A 23,436-nucleotide genomic window follows, 5' to 3' on the forward strand; every position below is an offset into this window, starting at 1 on the left:
TTCCAAGTCTTTGCTATTGTGAATAATGCCGCAATAAACATACGTGTGCATGCGTCTTTATAGCAGCATGATTTATAGTCCTTTGGGTATATACCCAGTAATGGGATGGCTGGGTCAAATGGTATTTCCAGTTCTAGATCCCTGAGGAATCGCCACACTGACTTCCACAATGGTTGAACTAGTTTACAGTCCGACCAGCAGTGTAAAAGTGTTCCTATTTCTCCACATCCTCTCCAGCACCTGTTGTTTCCTGACTTTTTAATGATTGCCATTCTAACTGGTGTGAGATGGTATCTCATTGTGGTTTTGATTTGCATTTCTCTGATGGCCAGTGATGGTGAGCATTTTTTCATGTGTCTTTTGGCTGCATAAATGTCTTCTTTTGAGAAGTGTCTGTTCATGTCCTTTGCCCACTTTTTGATGGGGTTGTTTGTTTTTTTCTTGTAAATTTGTTGGAGTTCACTGTAGATTCTAGATATTAGCCCTTTGTCAGATGAGTAGGTTGCGAAAATTTTCTCCCATTTTGTAGGTTGCCTGTTCACTCTGATGGTAGTTTCTTTTGCTGGGCAGAAGCTCTTTGGTTTAATTAGATCTCATTTGTCAATTTTGGCTTTTGTTGCCATTGCTTTTGGTGTTTTAGACATGAAGGGCTTACCGATGCCTATGTCCTGAATGGTAATGCCTAGGTTTTCTTCTAGGGTTTTTCTGGTTTTAGGTCTAACGTTTAAGTCTTTAATCCATCTTGAATTGATTTTTGTATAAGGTGTAAGGAAGGGATCCAGTTTCAGCTTTCTACATATGACTAGCCAGTTTTCCCAGCACCATTTATTAAATAGGGAATCCTTTCCCCATTTCCTGTTTTTCTCAGGTTTGTCAAAGATCAGATAGTTGTAGATATGTGGCGTTATTTCTGAGGGCTCTGTTCTGTTCCATTGATCTATATCTCTGTTTTGGTACCAGTACCATGCTGTTTTGGTTACTGTAGCCTTGTAGTATAGTTTGAAGTCAGGTAGCGTGATGCCTCCAGCTTTGTTCTTTTGGCTTAGGATTGACTTGGTGATGCAGGCTTTTTTTTGGTTCCATATGAACTTTAAAGTAGTTTTTTCCAATTCTGTGAAGAAAGTCATTGGTAGCTTGATGGGGATGGCATTGAATCTATAAATTACCTTGGGCAGTATGGCCATTTTCATGATATTGATTCTTCCTACCCATGAGCATGGAATGTTTTTCCATTTCTTTGTATCCTCTTTTATTTCATTGAGCAGTGGTTTGTAGTTCTCCTTGAAGAGGTCCTTCACATCCCTTGTAAGTTGGATTCCTAGGTATTTTATTCTCTTTGAAGCAATTGTGAATGGGAGTTCACTCATGATTTGGCTCTCTGTTTGTCTGTTGTTGGTGTATAAGAATGCTTGTGATTTTTGTACATTGGTTTTGTATCCTGAGACTTTGCTGAAGTTGCTTATCAGCTTAAGGAGATTTTGGGCTGAGACAATGGGGTTTTCTAGATATACAATCATGCCATCTGCAAACAGGGACAATTTGACTTCCTCTTTTCCTAATTGAATACCCTTTATTTCCTTCTCCTGCCTAATTGCCCTGGCCGGAACACAAATTACACTTCTTAACATGATGGTATGAAGGATGCAGATTTTCTTGTGTAGAAGACAAGCTTGTGAACCCAAATGATACTGCAGCTGTGTATAGTCAAGTGTGCATCTCCATGCTTTGTGTAAGCCATCAGGGATCAAGCCCTTTTCCAGGCTCAACAGAAATTAAGCTGAATCCTGAATAAAGAGGGCCTCCCGTAGTTTTCTCAGTTTGCTGTAAGAAGAATGAAAAGAAAGCAGAGGTGTTTATTATGGGAGGTACTGGCAGCTCAAGGCGTACCTTGCTGTACCAGTTAAAACAGAACGTGTGTGACAGATGAATTTAGGCCAGTGCACACCATTCTGAGAAGTATGCCCCAATATTGGAAAGTAGAATTAAATATTTAAATATGTCAAAATGAAAATTTGCATTATCTCCACCCCCTTCTCATTGCTTCTCTCCTGATTTTCCAAGGATGGTTTTTGTTAGAATATCTAGGTAGTGAACTTTGACTCAATTGTAAATCCAAATGCCTACAAGACTAGAGTCTAGGTAGTAGGCAATTGATGACTGGGTATTTTAAATGAGAAATAAAAACTTGCGTGAGTATTTGTGAATAGAGAAGTATACCAAGCAGTTTTTGTTGGCAGAAAATGGGGATAAGATTCTATACTAATCTGAAGAGAGAATTCAATGGTTATGTTGTAAAAGGACAGAGGATAATGATGTATATAAAACAAGGAAGGAAGTCTATAAAATTCAATCAACTTCTATAAGCTAGTTTGGTACAAAAAAAAAAAAAACTGGGGAAGCTTGAACCAGCTCTGCATTCAGCAAACATAATGGATCTTGGCTGTCAGCCTACTCTGGTGCATTTATTTTCTCTAGGGAGTTGTTTTTATAGTGCAAGAAACTGGTCTAAAAGGAGTTGGGGTTACTTGAGAATTGATGATTTACTATTTAGTCCTGGAAAAGCTGTAATGGCTTGGAAGTCTAATCTGCACCTGGTTTCACATCAACGGATTCATCTCTCTTGCTTGATAAACATGTTCATTGGACAACAATGAAACAACTGGGGTAATTATGATGTGAGCTGACACTGCCGGTATAAAGGCAGCTTATGGTTGGACCCAGCCCAGCAAAAGCAAGATGAAGACTGCATTGAAAATTGAAAGTAGAAATTCATCAAAATTTCTCCAGAGATGAATGGGCTCTCATCTCTACTCCTTTCTAATAGCTTCCTCATCTTTCCTCTCTCCATGAACTAAGGGCTACTAACCATTTTTGTGCTATGACTGCCCTTGGCTTTTTGATGAAATCTATGAAACCCTTCTCAGAAAATGCTTTCAACGAACACAATACATTCTGTAGAATTATAAAAGGAAAACAAAATATATCAAAATACAATTATAAAATAAAAATTTTATGATGTGTTCATTTACATGCTCCTTTGCAACATAATAAATAAAAAGATCTCAGCGGTATGTCTAATAACCATTATAATTTCAAAGTGGGGATGGGTTTAAATAGTATTTTGAAGGTTGTTACAGAAAATATCTGTAATTTCTACTGGAAGTAAAATAATTGGTATTGACAGTAGTCCTGTAGTTTTATCTAGATTCATAATGTAGTAGGTGGTTGGCCAAAAGTAATTATTTTTCCCTCCCAAGTTCATGGGCCCTCTGAATTCTGTCCCAGATCAGGAATACCTGGGCTCAGCTTAAGAAGTGCTGCTATTTGCTATCTTCCATTTTTATCCTTGTACAAATTGGGAATCGGAGGTCCAGATTAACAGCTACACAGTCTCAGATCTAGAGCTCCCAGCTACATATCTAATTGTCCCAATGCCAAATCCCCAGGAGAGTCAATCCGATGGGCCAAGGGCCAGATATCCATTCCGATGCCAAAAAGCAATAGAAGGGTAGATAGAAAAGATCCTGTAAGACAAACATGTCTTCAACCCACTATCTTGGGAACATAAAGAGAGATTTTTCAAAGAAAGTGTACGTGTAAGGCAGATACCTCAAAAGGAGCCTTTTATAAGTACAGGTGTGGGACCCCTAACAGCAGCTGGAAAATTCCTTAGCAGAGCCTTACAGATACAATGAGGGAGTTCTTCTCATGGTGAAAAGCTATCACTATTCATTGGGAAGAAAAGTTATCTGTGCACAAATAAAAGTCTAGGCTGTTAGGTGTTTTACAAGTCCAATATGACACTGTCCAGTAGAACATTCTGTGGTGTTGGTAATATTCTATAGCTGCACTGTCTAATGCAGTAGCCACTAGTCACACATAGCTATTGATCACTTGAAATGTGGCTAGTGTGACTCAGAAGCTAAATTTTAAATTTGATTTATTTTTAATTAATTAATATTTAAATTTACATAGCCACATGTGGCTAGTAGCTACCACAGTGAATGACTCAGGTCTAACCTATCCCACACTGCATCTCCATCAGTTTCCTACAACAGCAGCACTCCAGTCAAACTAGTAAAGAAATCTTACCTTTTGGCTTCTGACTTTGTTGAGGTTCTTTGCCTAGCTCAGGCATACACTCATAGTTTTTGTCCATTTCTCTAGGTCATTCTACACTTTATATTCCTAACTCATATCCCACCTTCTGGAAGACTTCTGTTATCAGCCAAGTTCTCTGAAGTCTTAAGACACCTATTGCTATATCACCAATTGGGACAAATCACATGTCACTTGCTTCAGATGTGTGTGTGTGTGTGTTTTTTTCCAAAAGTTTTATAGTTTTTCTTCAAGTAGAGTGCATGCTTCTGAGGAGAAGAAAAATTTCTCATATCTTTTAAAAGACCTTGTTTTTTATATAGGTGTTCAGTACAATTTTGTTGAATTAGTTCACTGAATGCTTTGGAGATGTAGATGATGCAAATAAAGAGTGGAAAAATCCATCAAGGCAAAGATGCCTGAAGGTAGAGTCACTGTGTGCCAAAAGATCACTTAAATATCTTAAAGAGAGGTCAGAAATTAATTTGGTGCTATCTTTTGGCAAATAAAGTGTTCTCCTTTTATGAATGAAACAACCAAAGTCTAATGATAGTGAATGATTTGCCAAGATCATATACCAGTAAAAGATGGAGGAGAAACTGAGACCCAGGCCTTTGGCATTCAGCAGTATTCTATAGAGCAAGATGCTAGATAGATTGGGAACTCTTTAAGAAGCAAGAGAACAAGCCCAACAGAAAGAAGAAGAGGACAACAGAAAGGAAGCTCACAAAAAGAAATAGAAGAGAAGGTTTATGATGGATTTCCTTGATTTATTCAGATTGTGAAAACCTAACAGATAAATTTCCACAAAATTAAAGAAAATTCAAATATTAGATGGGTGAAGAAGTCCCTCCAATTTTAAATACCAGTAACTCATCATTTACCTGAGACTAGAAAATAACTAGATATGCTTAAGATGCTTCTCCATTCTTGTTGGTCTCCGGTCTACATTCTTTCTGATAGGTACCTAGTGTGTATATTACACTTCACATGTGCATGGCATACTGCAGTGAATCAAGCAATCTGGGAGGGAAACCTTGCCAGAGGAGAAATCACTGAGAACATTTCCTCTAAGACTCCATGTAAAAATTGAAGAAAGTGTTAGAAAAAAAAAAAAGATAGCCGTCTCTACTAAAAAAATACAAAAAACAGGCCCGGCGCGGTGGCTCATGCCTGTAATCCCAGCACTTTGGGAGGCCGAGGTGGGCGGATCACGAGGTCAGGAGATTGAGACCATCCTGGCTAACACGGTGAAACCCCACTTCTACTAAAAATACAAAAAATTAGCCGGGCGTGGTGGCGGGCGCCTGTAGTTCCAGCTACTCGGGAGGCGGAGGCAGGAGAATGGCGTGAACCCGGGAGGCGGAGCTTGCAGTGAGCCGAGATCGCGCCACTGCACTCCAGCCTGGGTGATAGAGCAAGACTCCATCTCAAAAAAAAGAAAAAAAAAAAGATGGCCATGAACGTTGGATGTGAAGAAGTGTCTGAAGGAAAAAATCGCCCATCTTTTTATTTTCTATCCAGTGGCAGCATCATAGAGGGATGATAAAATTCAACATTGCATAAGCGTCATATACCCCATATACCCACTGGACTCTTATACTGGTACCTCAAAGCTGTCCTATCAGATCTGGCCTATTTTTCTTCATAGGCTAGAGTTAGGTAGGAAACAGAAGAAAGAAACTCTAGGATAAATAGTTAGATCTTTGTTTAGAGAAAGGAGATCCAAAAGTCAAAGAATTAGACATCCAGGTTGTGACTTGCTAAGCATACCCACTGGCTAAACAAAGCACTGGCAAGAACATTTCGACTACGCTATTGTTACTATACTAAAATCATTCTCACCTTTAAATTGGGAGAAACATGCTCGATAATCTTTCAAAGTGTCCAGTGTTCTAACGTTCTTACTGAATGTGTACAGCATTGCACAAAGACCCTCAAATTAGTAAGACTACTTTACACAATGCCAAAGCCAGTGTGGTTTTCATGGGTTACAACCAACTTTTGCTCCTTAGTCATAAACTGGAACCTTTTCAAGTCATTCCATAAGTTCTTGGAAAAATGTCCGATCACCTTAATATGAATTTGTCTGAAAAACCAGATATCAAAACCAAAAGAGTGTCGAGACAAAATATATTTATATAGATAAGGAACACCTTCATCTTCAAGAGGAGCCACCGTTTAAGAGAACCAGCCTATCAGTGGAGTCAATGGAGAGTGACTTCCAATGGAGAGTGAACATGTCAGCTACGGAAAATATAAAAACAAAAATCTGACCCATTGAGTGACCATGCCTGTCTACTACAAATATGGTGCTGTGCTTTAAGGATAAATATAAGTATCTTTTTGATAATAATATTATTAATAATGTGCATCATGTGCTTATGATATTCCAAGATACTTTGTTAAATCCTTTTAAGGATTATTTTATTTAATCCTTACAATAATCTTAATGTACGTTATTTCTATTATTCTTATTTGATTGATGAGGGAACTGAGGAAAGACAATTAAGTTAATTGCCCACAACACATGGGAAGGGTCAGAGCTAGGATTCAAAAGTAGGTAGGCAGACTCAAAGTACTGATACTCTTAACTACTATGCTATAGTTCACACCTTGAAGTCCTCAACATAATTATCCAGTTTTCTCCAGCTTTTAAATAATAAACAATGGTATTAAGAGGAAAAAATTGTGTGAGAATCTCCATTTTGAAAAACTATGACTTCTTAAAGTGAATTCATAAATGAATGTTTATGCCCCCTGCAAAATTCCTATGTTGAAGCCTTAACCAAGCCTTAATCCACAGTGTGGCTGTATTTGGAGATGGGAGCCTCTAAGGAAGTAATTAAAGTGAAAAAGAGTGGGTCCCTGATCTAATAGAATTACTGTCCTTATAAGAAGAGATGCTAGAGGCTGGGCATGGTGGCTCACGCCTATAATTCCAGCACTTTGGGAGGCCAAGGTGGGCGGATCACCTGAGATCGGGATTTTGAGACCAGCATGACCAACATGGCGAAACCCCGTCTGTACCAAAAATACAAAAATTAGCTGGGCATGGTGGTGGGCACCTGTAATCGCAGCTACTCAGGAGACTGAGGCAGGAGAATCACTTGGACCCTGGAGGCAGAGGTTGCAGTGAGCTGAGATTGTGCCATGGCACTACAGCCTGGGCGACAAAGCGAGATTCCATCTCAAAAAAAAGAAAAAAAAAGAAAAGATGATAGCTCTCTTTCTCTCTGCCCTATGCACTCACTGAGGATAGGCCTTTTGATAACTCAATGAGAAGGCAGCTATCTGCAAGCTAGGAAAGGAGCCCTCATCAGAAATTGAATTGGCCAGAACTTTGATCTTGACTTCTAGCCTCGAGAACTATGAGAAAATAAATTTTGGTTGTTGAAGCCATCCGATCTATGGTGTTTTCTTAAGGCAGCCTGAGCTGACTGAGACAGAAGCTTTAAACTGTAAATTCTCTTGTCAAACAAGGTGTTGTATATTTATAACATGAAAAATGATTTTTAAAGATAGTCATTGAAGTGGAAATCTTAAACTAAAAACTTGTCACAGAACTCATATCTCTCCCCTCCTTAAAAAATATATTATGAATCCCCAGTGTTTGTGACTCTTCTGTAGGAGAAAACTTGAGTTAACTGTTACTAGAACTCTCATCAGTAAAAATGTCACATTATTATGCCTATATTCAAAGATGAACTTAGCCAAATTATTTGTAAGTGGTGAAGTAAAGAAGTGGACACCTAGACCACTCCCATTGTTTCCAAATGTTTGCAGCAGGGACCCTTTCCTCTCTTCAAACAAACAAAAATATTATAGTATGAAGTTCTTTCAAAGAATGGAGTGTCACATTTAGTTAAAATAGAGATGAATTCAGCATAACTCTTAAAATAATTTTTACAGTGTAAATTTTCCTTTCAGTTTCCATAGGCAGATTAATGTATAATTACTCTATAGACCACTAGAATATTCCATTTCTTCTTCTTCTCCTCCTTCTCCTCCTCCTCCTCCTTCTTCTCCTTCTTCTTCTTCTTTTATTTTTTTCTGAGACACGGTCTTACTCTGTTGCCCAGGCTGAAGTGCAGTGGTGTGATCACAGCTCACAGCAGCCTTGAACTCTCAGGCTCAAGCAATCCTTCCACCTCAGCCTCCTACATAGCTGGAACTACAGGCATATGCCACCATGCCTTGCTTATTTTTTAATCTTTTTTTAGAGACTGGGTCTCACTATGTTGCCTTCATAGTGTGCCATTTCACTACGTGGCTGGCAATTTTGTCTTTAAATGGAGATGATAGTGTTGTTTATGTTATAAGTGGTCGTTATGAACATCAAAGGAAGTCATCCTCCTGAAGCCTTGAAAACTGTCAAGTTCTACTGAAATGTCATAGATCATTATTACTGAGTTGTTTACTTTAAATGACCAATACCACATTTTGAATTTAAATCATGTGGTACTGTATTTTAAGGAGGTAGTAACCATGTAAGTTTAGAAGAAAAATTCAACATGCCCTGAATGTGTTTTTAAAAATAGATTACATTTTAAGTATATTTGGTGACAAAATATCTGTAATAAGTACAAGTTTTGTTAAGGCTATAATAAAATCATAAACCCTGCCTAATAAAGAACTTGTTCTGGCTGGGCACTGTGGCTCATGCCTGTAATCCCAGCATTTTGGGAAGCCAGTGCACGCCAGATCACCTGCAGTCAGGAGTTTGAGACCAGCCTGGCTAAGATGGTGAAACCCCGTCTCTACTAAAAAACACACACACACAAATTGTCCGGACATGATAGCGGGCACCTATAGTCCCAGCTACTCAGGAGGCTGAGGCAGAGAATCGCTTGAACCCAGGAGACAGAGGTTGCGGTGAGCTGAGATTGCACCACTGCACTCCGTCCTGGGTGACAGAGCAAGACTCCCTCTCAAACAAACAAACAAAAAAAGAACTTGTTCTATGGGTAAAGTGATGAAAATTAATATGGCAGATTTCTGCAGAAAAGGGATATTTAATTTCAATTCAACCTGCATATGGTGAGTACTTGTCACCTGTAAGGTGCTGTGTCAGCTTCTGGGACATAAACAGAAAATTATTGTGTATCTACTATTGGATTGTTTTATATGATATTTGGTGGTGATAGGGAAGGTAAGTGTTTTTAGGGACATTCAGGTAAATGGTGTTTGATATGCTTTGGCTGTGTCCCCACCCAAATCTCAGCCTGAATTGTATCTCCCACAATTCCAAGGTGTTGTGGGAGAGACCCAGGGAAATGTAATTAAATCACGGGGGCCGGTCTTTCCTGTGCTATTCTCATGATAGTGAGTAAGTCTCATGAGATCTGACAGGCTTATCAGGGGGTTCCCCTTTTGCTTCTCCATCATTTTTTTCTCTTGCCCCTGCCATGTAAGATGTGCCTTTCACCTCCCGCCATGATTCTGAGGCCTTCCCAGCCATGTGGAACTGTAGGTCCAATTAAACCTCTTTTCATTCCCAGTTTTGGGTGTGTTTTTATCAGGAGTGTGAAAATGGATTAATACAGTGTCCATTGATTGATCTGCAGCATAATATGAAAGGAATGAATTGGTAGAATAAGACAGCCTTATCAAAAAAACAGTGGAGTATTATCCTTATATACCTATTTCAAGGGCAATATTTGATTGCCAGGCACAGGCCTACTTTTCAAATATATGGTTCATGCAGCAAACAATAATTTTTGCTTTTTGGTTCTTGATACACAAAGCACCCAGTATCAATAATGATACACTAATAACCTAACAGAAAAGCCCTATACATAACTTTTTTTCCTTTTCTTCCATGATGTTGAATCAGAGGTGCATTAAATCTGGCTCTTGTGACACTATTCCAGTTTTTATGTAAAAAAGCAACAAAATTCTGCTCAACAGGCAGAGGAATGAAAAAAGAAAATACTAAAAATGATTTTTGCTTAGGTACATATAACTTCTATGTTGTCATCTTTATTTTCCATCTGTATCTCATTCTTTGTTTTCAGGCTGTAATTGTCAGCAACTGTTCTTCAGGTCTATAAAGCCTTCAAAGCTCTGACCACTGGTTGTTATTATTATTATTATTATTATTATTATTATTATTATTATTATTTGAGATGGAGTCTTACTCTGTCGCCCAGGCTGGAATGCAGTGGCACAATCTTGGCTCACTGCAACCTCTGCCTCCTGGGTTCAAGTGATTCTCATGCCTCAGCCTCCCGAGTAGCTGAGATTACATGCACCTACCACCATGTCTGGCTACTTTCTGTATTTTTAGTAGAGACAGGGTTTCACTGTGTTGGCCAGGCTCGTCTCAAACTCCTGACCTCAGGTGATCCACCAACCTCAGCATTCCAAAGTGCTGGGATTACAGGCGTGAGCCACCCAGCCTGGCCGGTTTTTGTGCATTTTTGACTTCCAGCTTAGGGAGAGAGCATGCCTGGGTGGGTCATTCCCTCCACTATTTCTATAGTTTTAAATGTGTTTGTTTTTTAATCAAAGTGCATTATTCTGCATTAGTCAGACCTAAGTGGGCAAATACATTCTCCAAATTCTGGAGGAAAAACCAACAAAACTCATAAGATGTGTTGATTTCAAAATATCAAGTGCCCTAAATTCATAGTTGCAGTGAAAACTATCACATTTGTTAAATGAAGGAGTTAATTATGTAAGATTCTTATGCCAGGAAGGGGAAAAAGAAAAATAAGTTTATTTTTTTTCCATATCTGTCAATTGAAAATATAAAGTGTTACAGCTGAAACATGAATATTTTAAAGTAAGAGCAAATGCTTGTAATTCTTCTTGGGCAGTGGTTTCAGGCATGTCCTTTACTGGCAATGAACCACATGCGGGGAGAATCTATCTCACTGTGCCAAGGAGTTATTTATGCTTGCCTTAGACGCCCAGGACTTGAGTTTATTACACATTTTTCTCCTCTTTTGCATAAAGTAGTCCAAATCTCTTTCCATTTACCTATCATATTTTTTCATTTTAATCAGGTGCAATTTTGATTTTTCTCTTTGGGTTCATGAGTAATGTTTGCAAAATCAAATCAATGAAAAAAGACACTGTAATTTATATTTTCATATTTTTTCCTGGGGTTCTTACAGAGAACACAGCCCCAAACCCAGGGGAAACTATTCCCAGAAGTGCAATGGAGTTGAGTATCATGATCTTCAAACTATCTTTAGTTTATACGGTTTATACATTGAAGAAAATAAATGCAATTGTGAATGCCTAATGGAACTCTCTGGCACATACTACTGGGTACTTATATATAGTCTGATAAAAAATTAAAACCAATTTATCAAAATGACAACACACTTGTTAATTTGGAACATTCTTAATGTCCATTTAAAGTGCAATACTCAGTAATTTATTCCATTTTGGAGATTTCAAGTTATCAGCATTTAGTACAATTTATAGCTCATGCTTAATTTTGCTATTATTTACTTTAGCAAATAAAAGGCATCTTACTCTGCAAAAAAAGTGCTGATTCTTATTTTATGGAGTACCTCAGTGTAATAGATTTAGTGTGGAAAACAAATTGAAAGCCTTCTACCACCAAATTAGAGTTTTAAACTTACGTTAGCTCTTAGGTGCGTGGCTCTCACACTTTAGTACCTTGAAGAAACAACCAGGAAGTTTGTTAAAAATGCAAATCCCTGACTTCTAGTCCCCAGGGACTCTTATCAGAAGGTGTGAAATGGAACCAAGTAATCTGCATTGATTTTTAATTATCACCCCTGAATAATTCTGTTTCTATGAAGCATTTTGAGATACTCATTTTGAGATAAAAGAATTTGTGTTTTTTGTACACAATGTCTTTTTTATATAAATTATTGATTAATAGCTTTAGTAATCCTAAAATTAATCAAGTGGATGATTATTTTTGAGAATTTATGTGATCTTTTAAAAATTTAATTTTTAGAAATTGTTCCATTTTGTATTAACATTACAAATTGTGTCATTAAGACTAAACAAAAATCACCAAATCAATAATTCACTTAATAGACTGTGATCTACATGGAAAGCTATACATATTTAAATTTGTCAGGTGTATCCTTTTCTTAAACAACATTATTCACAGGGAAATTCAGATAATGAAACATATCATCAGAAAAATAAATACAACAAGCAGCTAATATTTATATACACTGAAAAGAATAGGCTGATTTAGTAGAGTAATATTCTGTGGTGTTACAAAGACTTCCCAAAGAATATGGATTTTAGAAGTATGTTCAATGCTGAGATCTCATTCTGGCCATGTACTGCGATAATGTTCATTACTACGGAACCAAAATCCACCTTGCTGTGAATATTCAGGCTTCAGAAACAAGCATATTCTAAGTGACATCATTCTAACTGATAACCTCATTTTTTTCTGACAAGGAGCTAACAATGGTGTCATTATAAAAGAATGGTTTAAGAATTGAAGGAGATAATATATGCTGCTATTATGGGTAAGAGTGGAAGACCAGTGAGTCCCCTACAGAAAGTCACTCAATCCTGAAATATTTCCTCAAACAGAAAAGTCGGTTATAGAGGAATACTAGATGTCAACTGGTAGATAACACCTTAGACTTGAAATTACCATCTAAGAAGAAATAACAAAAAGACTTTTTCATGGTTCTTTATATCCCAGAGGCCATAGGAGAGAATCAACCTTATTAAAAACAAAAATGGAGATGCCACACATATCGTCAAGGATATGAATATGGAAATAGGCAAGTTATAGGTATACAAATAAATTCTAGGCTCTAGGAAAGGAAAGGCAGAAGGGAAGAGAGACTCAAGCACCATCAAAGTATAGAGCTTCAGAGCAACATTCCTTCTCTGGCTCTTGGGAGATCTTGACAGAAGAGGGCAGTTCTTAGGTGTTGAGTGACTAGTCGGAGAAAAGGAGAACGTTACAAGCAATTTCTAAGGAATTGGGAGCCCAGGGCATTCCTGCTCTTGAAGATACTATGGCAGGAACCTTAAAAGTTTCATTTTTTTCTGACATGCCATCTGAATTTGAAGAGCCTAAAGCAGAAGAACCAGAAAATTCAGTTACCTAGGTCTACATCCATTATCCAGGCAAAAGGCCATAGAATCAACTCTATTGGTACTGTTTATGTTTGCCAAATGAGCAATTTCAAATATTAAAACGACATCAATACAGGTTTCTGGAGAAGCTCACTGACATTAACAGCATTGCCAAAAATGTAACGCAAACTTCTTAACATTTGTCATATTTAGGGAGTTCTATTTTTCAGTTCATTTTCATAGAGCTGGAAAAAGGAAACATAAATTGCTGTGGCAGTAGGGGAAGGAAACCAAAGTTTAGCGAAGGCTTATCATGGGTCTCACATTGTGTTATGCAGTTTATATATGGTCACATTTGGTAAGTTTAGGATATATGTGAAGTGTACTAAAGAAGCAAGAGATAACATGTGGTTTACAGACATTTCAAGGTTTAATAATGAACCTGCTATCTCAAACTACTTTACCAGTTTAACTTATTAATTGTTGAAATTTTCAAACCAACCAACCCTGAGAAGAGTCTGCGAATCTATACATTTTCACATACACATCCATTTACATTCATTGGAACACCTTTTTGAAGGCTTCTACAACTATAGTTATCAGTCTTGGAAAAATAAAAATGATGTATTGAAATTTTCCTATAACTGTCATTGTGACGGTTGTGAGGAAGGTCAGGGCAAATTATACAACAACACGGAGCATGGGTTTTATTTGGGAAACTTACAAAATAAAATTACCTTGCAAAGGTTGGCAAGAAGCAATGCATATCTCCCTTTTCTCAGCATTCCATAGAGAAGTATGCCAGCTATGAGCAGTGCAGCTTGTGCCCTGGTAATTCCACTTCTTACAGTGTAAGCAGAGAATGGCCCAACGGTGACTGTGTTAGCCTTAGTTTTCCTGAAAGCAGAGATGTTTGAGCAGTGTATTTGGGAGTGTGATTTCACGGGGGCAAGAACAAGAGATGGGCAAAGAAATACACAGAAAGAGAGCAAATGACCCAGTATAAGTTATCCATTTAGTCACTGACAAGTTGGCTGACAAGTTGCTCAACACTGTGGAACAGCCTGAGTGGTATGACACATGTCTTGGGATCATCAGCTCAAAGGGAAAAAAAGGGGAAATATTCACCCATTGGCATCTGTCTCTCAATGGCCAAAAATTGTCCCAGGGGGCATTAATTTACTCTGCAATTTCTATCAGTCTTCTCTTTGTGTGAGAGGCGTCCTAGCACAGGATCGAGGGGTTCTTATCCAATGCCTGAGGGGAGGTATTGTCAGATTGCCTTTATAGAAAACTGATCAGAGTTCATGGCTGGAATAACAAACGATGTTTGAGTAAGTGTATGATATGCAAATTTCCCTTCAGGTGGAGGGCTTGATGTTTTGGACTCAGTTACTAATAGGTTAGGTGCCAGCTGTCACAGCTCAGCTCCTGGAGACCTAGTGAGCCCATGGGAGATTGCAACATCTTCTCCTGGGAGCCACCCATCCTGTGGGAATTTGGTTTTGAAATGCAGCTGGAGTAAATGCGGGATTCCAAGATAGCTTGTCCATCACCAGGCAATGAAGGAAGGGCACTGAGGCTCACCTTTGGACTTCCTGGTTGACATCCCATGGTCAGGTCTGGATATTCAGTGTGTAAATTCATTCTAATGATATTAATTTTAAGAATGTTTTACAATTTTTTTCTAATTAAGTATTTTATGCACATATTAGGAAAAAAAATTGATTTGGTAAACCTAATAAATTTGCATCGAACCTAATATTTTATGTTCATGAATTGTAAAGGAAAGCTTAGAGGGAAGATTCTCTGTGTCTTGCTTTTCAGAGAGAGACACAGGTATGGGTCAAAGGGCGCTTAGAACCTTCCCATCCTTAATACATTATGGAAAATATTGACTGCTCTTCATCTTTGATATCATAAATTAGAGTATTATGTTCATAATGACTATTTTCTATTTAAGGAGGTTTTTTGTGAAAAACATTATCTTTTTCTGAATAATAACTCCTTCAATGCTATCTATCTTCTCCCTCAACTGTGCCTTTGCAGCTGAATAACTGATTCACCATACTACTGAACAACTTTTTGATGACTTGAATTTATTTATTTATTTTTTAAAAGCCAATACATTCATTTGCCATTCTTGTACTTCCTGTCCTGCTTAAAGCACTTTTTGCTATTTTTTTGTGATGTAAAATCAGTCCAGTTTATCTCCATTCAAGACATCTTTATTGAAAATGACTTGTCTCCAGGCTTATTTTGGTTTCCCTTTCCAATCCTTATGGACAACTGGTTAGCTAATTGAGTCACTCCCAAGCCCCACTTCTGTTAATCAGTATATGTAATAAGTTGATGGAGTGTAAACATTTATTTAATAAAGAGAATGTCACATCGGTTGAATGTCACTTACAGAAGTTACAAAAAGGAGCCATCCATTTATTCTTTCAACAGATATTTGTTGAAGCATAAGATGCATAGCATGCTATTCTCTGTGTTATGGGATATTTTAGGATGTAAAAGACCTGGCTCACAAAAACATGCAAGCTAATGTTACTAACTTCATTTTGTCAAGCAATTTGGTATGGGAAATAACCAGTGGGAAAGCAAGTGGGGAAAGAAAAATAAGTAGAAAGACTCTGAACATATGTTCAACACAGCAGGAGACAGTGTTATAGACCTGGGATCCAACTTGTAAAAAGAAAGTGTGTAGTGGCTTGCATTTTGAAAAGAACCCCATATGGGGAAATATACTTTGTGGCAAAGACACAACAGGGAGACCTAGATGAGATCATGAGTATTTTCTCTGTGGAACCACAGAGAAGAATTTAGGGTTAGGAAGCCCATTAGCAGATGACATGCCCAGGAGCAACACTTAGCCACTGCCTGGGCATTCGTAGTGGCTTGTGTGTGTAGGAAGCTTATAAAGCTCTGAAGATTCCACTCATTTGCCTTTGCATTTAGCATCTTCTGTGCAGAAAATTAGTTATGCTGCAGCCTTAAAATGTTAGTTATCTAACATTTTAGAAAACTAGCTACCTATTAGGTTATAGTAATTGTATAAAAACATAAAATTAACCACTAGCTAGAATCATTTTTAGGATTTCTTCACTTTTAATTAAATCTAACATCAATGTTATAAAACCCAAAAGAATACAAAAAGATTTATTTTGCTAGTAAAATGAATTTTCAAATGCTTTCAAGTCCCTTGGGGACTAAAGTTCAATAATAATTAAAGTCTTTTCATACCGCATGTGGGAAAGGGCCAAACACCATGTTGAGATTTCGTGAGTCTTCTGTACCAGCAAAGAGAGGCAGTAGAAGAAAGAAACACTTCCCTGCTCTGCATTAAGAGAACTATTAGGCTGCCATTCATAGTGCAATTTTTTGCAGTCCTACAGAAACACATTTCTAGGTCTTTAGACAGTTGAGTTCCAAAAGGGTTTTGCAAGAATCAAATCACATGTGAGCTGAGTCAAAAATCAGGAGGTCGCTTTGTAGGTGAAGAATGTGGCAAACATAAGATCGGAATGAAAGCAAAATTGAGAGTCGGCAGTGCAGGCTTTTGGAGGCGAAAGCCCAAAAGACAGGCCAAGAAATGCTTTCGATGTTGGACCTTGGGGATAAAATGATGATTTGTCAAATTACTAACTAGGTGAAAAAAACAAAAGGACATTCTCCAGCCAGGATCATGGGACCAGAGGTGTTGCCAGGTCAAATGACATTACCGGGTGACTTATTGCTCTTGGTTTTTTCTTGATGCACTTCATTTAAGTTAACATTTTCATTCTCTGTGTTGTATTTTACGTATAGTGGTTTTCTCTACCTGAAGATTTTTGGAGTATTTACTCAATGACTTGTTTATAATTTGTTTCCTCCTCTTTCAAGGTGAGTTGGCTAAGAACAAGGACGTTTTCCTAGTCACCCACTGTCTCCAAGCTTGTGAACAGTTACTGATAGCACTCAACTGTTTTTTTATTTAAAAAAAAAATAAGGATGAGGTCTCAGTATGTTGCCTCAGGCTGGTCTTGAAATCCTGAGCTCAAGTGATCCTTCCTCCTCGGCCTCCCAAAGTGCTAAGATTACAGACATGAGCCACCATGCCTGGCGGCACTCAACTGTTAAATGAATGAATAAGTGAAATGAACATTTTTCAATAACAACCTCAGCACACCATCACTGCTGCGTAGTGTGCACCAATGAGTGGTAATGTAAGATTTTATTGTTGGTTAAAGCTCAGATGTTTTCAGCAGACAGAGAGCTTGGAAGCAGAGCAAGCTCTGATAATAGCTCTTGCTCTTTGTGGGTGTGTACAGTGAATTTTAATTCACCTTGTTTATATAAGAAGGGTATAATATTAAATATAATTTTGGCATAGGCTTTAAAAAACAACAGCCTTAATATATTGATAAATTAGTACTTTGGGCTGTTGTCTCTTTTCTCCCAAAAGAAAATTCAATTAGAGTTAGGGTCATGTTGTCCCATAATGTTCGACAGAAGAGTGTTTGAATTCCATAGCCGATTTTTAGAAACAGTAGCTTGAGTTATTTTCTTCCCTAGTGCAGTTACCATGGAATTGATATAAAAACTTGGATATTTCTATATTACTCATTTCAGAAATGTGTTCAACTTTAAGGAATTATTTGGGTCTTAAAAAGTATTTTGCAACCAACTCATCTATACCATCAACTCCTGACTCACCTTCAAGCAATGTTCTCTCTCTCTCTCTCTGCTTTTACCCCCTTAAATTGGAACTGATGTTTTATATCTAATCTGTTATAGACAAGATACAAATTGCATGAGGGCAAGGACATTTTCTGGTTCATTCCCTGCCTAGCCCTCAATGACATGGTGAATGCCTAACAACAACAACAATTCTAATAAATGAAGGAGAAGTTAGTGGGCTGTTTCAAGCAGTATTTCCTGTAACAGCTGTGTTTTGGTGGGGTTCGGAGTCTAGTTATTGACTGCATGTTTGGAAATTAGTTTTTATTAGATTTTGAAAACCAAGATCATAAACTTTTTAAAAAATTTAATGTTTTTATCATATTTGTTCAAAAGTAAACCACTGCTAAAAGGCTTATAACAGTGTTCCCCTTCCCCCTTACCTTCCAGCCCACAACTATCCTCCTCACCAATATGATCTTTCTTTGGAGATGAGAAATGTCATCTTTCTTAGCTTTTCTGGTACTTGCCTCCTTATTTTCAAGTCCTATATAGCATTGCTTTATTTTGGTTATTAATTTTAAACATTATCCAACCCTATCACAGTGTGGTGAAAAATCCATAGTCAGTATTATAATTATTATGACTAATGTAAATGCTATTCAAAGTGAACCCAGGTGGCACACTATATTTATAGTATATTATTATAGTATCTTTTCCTGGGTTAAGAACTGAAACTTTTTCTTCTAGTTTTCTTGGTTTGCTTTGAAATTATGGTTAAGTCATCATACACCTTCCAACAGCTGTATAAAATCTTGTTTCATTCAAATTCCGATACAGTGAAATCTACCTGGTAATCTCTCCATTTCTTCTTCATCTGTCTTTCCCCTGGAAGCATCCTTCCGGTGGTGGGGGCAGGGGGTGCTTTTGTCCAATCTGAAATGGCTCTCCTCTGTTTGAAAGCTTCTTCTCAACTATAATCTTGGACCCTCTGTACCTCCTGGTCATTTCTTTTGTCTCTCTCGATTTGGATTACCTGCTTTCTGATCTTTAGTCTTGCTCCTTCTTGGTTTATTCCATTATGGGTAGAGCATCCACTAGTTCTTGGAGAAATAGAGATCAAAGGTAATTTTTTTAAGACAACATTTCATAAAATATCCTTATTTCATTTTCATGTAAGGCTGATTGTGTCATTGGACGTGAACTACTAGAATGGATATCATTTACATCAAGAATCTGAAATGGATTGTGCTACTGTTGTAGGACTTCCTCCTTAGTTCAGCTAAAAGCTGGGATCTTGTCACATGACCATGAAAGATTAGGCTGGCAGATACTTTGAAGGGTGAGAAGAGCAGGTTTCATTGGGTGAAAGGTAAAAAAGGGAAATAGGGACCCTCAGCAAAGCAAGAGTCCTGAGTGTGGGTTTCTTGCCTCACAGATTGAAACCCTAGTTATCACCCTGGGACAGGAGAAGCCAGGCTCCTCCCCACTGGAAAGGGCACAAACTTCCCATGGCTCCACAGCATTCTCCCAGCGCACTGGCCAGTCGGAGGTTTTCCGGGGAGCCCTTTATACTTGGCTGTCTCACTACCGTCCTCTAGCTTTCTATGTTGCTATTAAAAAGCAAAAGCAATTTTTAGTCCTTATCTTTTAATGTATCCCCTTTTTCTCCCTGGAAGGTTTCCTCTTTATTCCTGCTTTTTCTTTTCTTTTTTTCCATTTATAGCTTTAGGCACTTGGTAGTAAGTCTTTACCATCTGGAGACTTACATCCTTCAGAGTGAGGAATTATCTGATTTTCTCTATGGAACTCCTGTTAGTCAGATGTTGGGCCTTTTTGCTTAATATTTTCTTTACTCTTTTCCCTCCTATTGGTTATCGCTTTATGTTTTTGATCTTCCGATTCTTTTGTTAAATTTTTATTTTCTAAATATCTATTTCTTGTTTCATGAGTGTTCCTTTTTATGCATTTTCATGTTGTTCTGTGGGTTCAATACCTCTCTTACCTCTCCAGGGATACAAATTACAGTGTTTTTTTGTTTTGTTTTTTGTTTGTTTGCTCCCTGAATTCACTATAGTTCTTTTCTCATTTTAATTTTAGATGTTTTCTATGATGTTTTTGTTCTTTACTAATTAATATCAATGCGTTCAGAAGTAAATGGAAAGTTCTATGGGTGTAGGCTGCAGTTTTGCACTGCTAAACCTCCTGAGGTTCCCACAACTGGCCAGTTAGCTTCTATGTTGTGAAATCTCCAAATGCCTGTATTCCCACAGGAGTTTTCTCGGAGGCAGTACATTCTCTCTTACACACACCTGGGGGTTATTAGCTTGGCTACCAGCATTCTAGAATTTGGTGGAAAAGAAAGGCTCAGGGTCCACAGTTCAGTTAGATTAATTCCTTTTTTTTTTTCAATATGCTACTTTGCTGTCTTTGATGCCTCATGCTCGCAGGTGTAGTAAAAGTGGGGCAGTCATCTGAAGGTGCTCAGAGTGGACAGGAACCAGGAATCTGAAGCTAACTGCTCCCTAGTGGGGCAGTCATCTGAAGGTGCTCAGAGTGGGTGGGAACCAGAAATTTGAGGCTAATTGCTCCCTAGCAGTTTCTCAAGTCCTCTCCCTAATTCCTTCAAATTATTCTGCGTAATTCCAATTCCTGAGTCTTTTATAACTTTTAGGGGCCAACTATGTATATCCATCTGCAAGAGCTTATTCTCCTCCACTCTTCTAAACTATTTATTATTCTTACATTGACTTTAGTCTTCAAATTCTGTGGCCTGGGACTATAGATATCTATTAATTTTTAATGAATATATTCAATTTTTTTGTTTATTTGTTTTTATTCTATTTTCCTGAATTTTAGGGGGTTGGATTTTGAGAGGAGAGGAGTGGAAATATCTTGATTCCATCAATTTAGAAATCACAGATCTCGTGATCAGATTTTGAGGGATAGATTCTCATTGTAACAACACCTGTCAGAAATTTATTTTTAAAAGAGAATTACAATGTATTAATTAATACTTGGAAATATTATCACTAAGTAAATTAGAATATTTCTTTTGATTGCCAAAGGCAGTTTTGTTCTTCTGAAAGAATCAGCTTCAGAAGCCAAATAAAGATCTAAACATTCATGACGGGTGTTGAGTTATAGCAGAGAAAGTTAAATGTTCTTTATGGTTAATGTTGCATTACCTAGCCTGTTGCCACAACCCTCATGTAAGTAGGTGCCTGCCAAAATAAATAGAATGATTAAATTGGGCAGCCAGGAATTACCACTGGACAGTTCTGATAATCCACAGGCAACTTTCCATTCTTCTTTCTTTATTCTTCACAAATCCTACTAATATTTGTTATAAAAATAGATTGTACAATTATTTGAGTGATAAAGAAATATTTATGAAGTGTCCACTCTGTACCATATACATGGTAATATGTATTATTTCATTATTCTTTGTCAGATATTAGTTACATTTTAAATTTATGTCTTTTTAATGAGATTCCAGGGAAGTACCTGGTTTCCTGATGAAATTTAAGGAATTCCCATTATTTGCTTTAATCATTTCCTGGGAAGGCTTTCACATGTGACCAAATACATTCATTTTATAGCTTTTATTTTAATTGTTGATTTTTTATGACTTTGTTCATAATTCTGTGCATACATTTTTTGTTTACCCATATTATACATTGACTACATACTCAATATTATACAAACCTTCATTGTTTATTTTTCCATAATAAACAAGGAACATGAAGTCTTTGCATTTGGAAGAGTCTTCAAAGGCAGATCAGAGTCCAAAACCTAGCACAAGCCCTCACTCCAGTTTGGTGAAAAGCAAATTAAAAAAAGAAAAAAGGAAAAAAAAGAGAGTAAACAAAACACATATGCAGAAATACACCAACAAAAATACACGTCGTCCATCACTGCACATTCTTCTCTTTCCTGGAAAGAATGGCAGCGACTATGAAGAGTTTTTCAGAGGCTAGATGCTCCCGTGAAATTTGCACCTGGTCCTGAGGTGAGCCAGATTGGCAGGAAGAGAAGGCAGAGCTGACTCCATACTGTTATTCCTTAGCCAATCACCAGAGTGACAAACCTTGAGTGAGCTTGAACCACAGATGCCCACTAGATGTTCATCCCTGTGTTAAAAAAAGATTTGGTGAAAATAGTGGCTGGTCCTGAGCCCAGCAAGGATGGAGATGAAGAATGATAAGTTATTCATTTCTAAAAATTTTATAAATATAGGACTTGCTTAACACTGACTGCTGACCTTGAATTCCCTTCTTCTGAGTATGTCTGCAATTCTAAAAGCAGCCCCAGAAGGCTGGAAAACGACTCACAAAGTGGCTATTAATAAACAGTGGTACATATAAAAGTGACAGAAGTCCAAAGTGTGTAGACAGGTGTTTTACTTCAATAGAGTAATGAAATGCTGAAGCAATGCAGGTGTTCAGCAGCCACAGCTTTGTCTGAACACTGCAGGGTATGTGTGTGTATGTGCCTGTGAGTACACACACACCCGTGTATGCATGCAACTTAAGCACACACACTTTGGGGAAGCACTTACTATGTGCACTCTGCAGTAACAAATCATGATTTGCTTCCAATCATTGCTATATTGATTTAAGAGAGAATGTGCTCTTAATAAGCATTATCCACCGCAGAATGCACATAGTAAGTGCTTTCCATTCCAATGTTCCTTGGTTTCAGCAATGTCAATGACTGTACTGTATTAGTCTGTTCTCACACTGCTAATAAAGACATACCAAAGAGTGGGTAATTTGTAAAGGAAAGAGGTTTAATTGATTCACAGTTCCATATGGTTGGGGAGGCCTCACAATCATGGTGGAAGGCGAATGAAAAGCAAAGTCATGTCTTACATGGTAGCAGGCAAGAGAAAGCTTGTGCAGAGGAGCTCTCCTTTATAAAACCATCAGATATCATGAGACTTATTTACTACCACAAGAAGAGTATGGAAGAAACTGCCCCCATGATTCAATTATCTCTACCTGGCCCCACCCTTGACATGTGGGGATTATTAAGTTCAAGGTGAGATTTGGGTGGGGACACAGCAAAACTGTATCACTTAACAAGAAACTTAACAAAGTAATGTTGGACCTAAATATTTTAGTTTTTTCCAGTATGATTTTATTTATTTATTTATTTATTTATTTATTTATTTATTTATTTTGAGACAGAGTCTTGCTCTGTCATCCAGGCTGGAGTGCAGTGGCAGTATCTCAGCTCACTGCAACCTCTGCCTCCCTGTTTCAAGCAATTCTCATGCCTCAGCCTCTAGAGTAGCTGGGATTACAGGCATTACCTTGGGATTACCACCACACCTTGCTAATTTTTGTATTTTTAGTAGTTTAGGGTTTCGTCATGTTGGCCAGGCTGGTCTCAAACTCCTGGCCCCAAGTGATCCCCCCGCCTCAGCCTCCCAAAGTGCTGGGATTACAGGTGTGAGCCACCATACCTAGCTACCAGTATGATTTTAATGAGATTAAGGCTGGTTGGTCTCATGGGAGAAGAAAACATTCAGGTCTCCTATTTAGATTGAGTGCATCTCAAAATACAGGAAAAATAATACAAACTCAGTCTATTTCCTAAGTCAAGTTGGTCAATAACATGTTCATACATAGA

At 37.7% G+C, this 23,436-nt stretch overlaps 1 long non-coding RNA gene across 1 annotated transcript; it reads right to left on the reverse strand.

Moving 5' to 3' along the window:
* Window positions 1–1,575: 1,575 nt before the first annotated feature.
* On the reverse strand, window positions 1,576–21,882 carry LOC105369292 (uncharacterized). The gene is made up of 4 exons (XR_937592.2): window positions 21,508–21,882; window positions 18,650–18,902; window positions 13,875–14,034; window positions 1,576–1,821 (listed from the first exon to the last, which is right to left on the reverse strand). It is a non-coding gene; the product is annotated as an uncharacterized LOC105369292 (long non-coding RNA).
* Between the last annotated feature and the right edge of the window lie 1,554 nt (window positions 21,883–23,436).

The sequence above is a fragment of the Homo sapiens genome, chromosome 21 (assembly GCF_000001405.40).
Source record: "Homo sapiens chromosome 21, GRCh38.p14 Primary Assembly".
NCBI classification, from domain to species: Eukaryota; Metazoa; Chordata; class Mammalia; order Primates; family Hominidae; genus Homo; species Homo sapiens.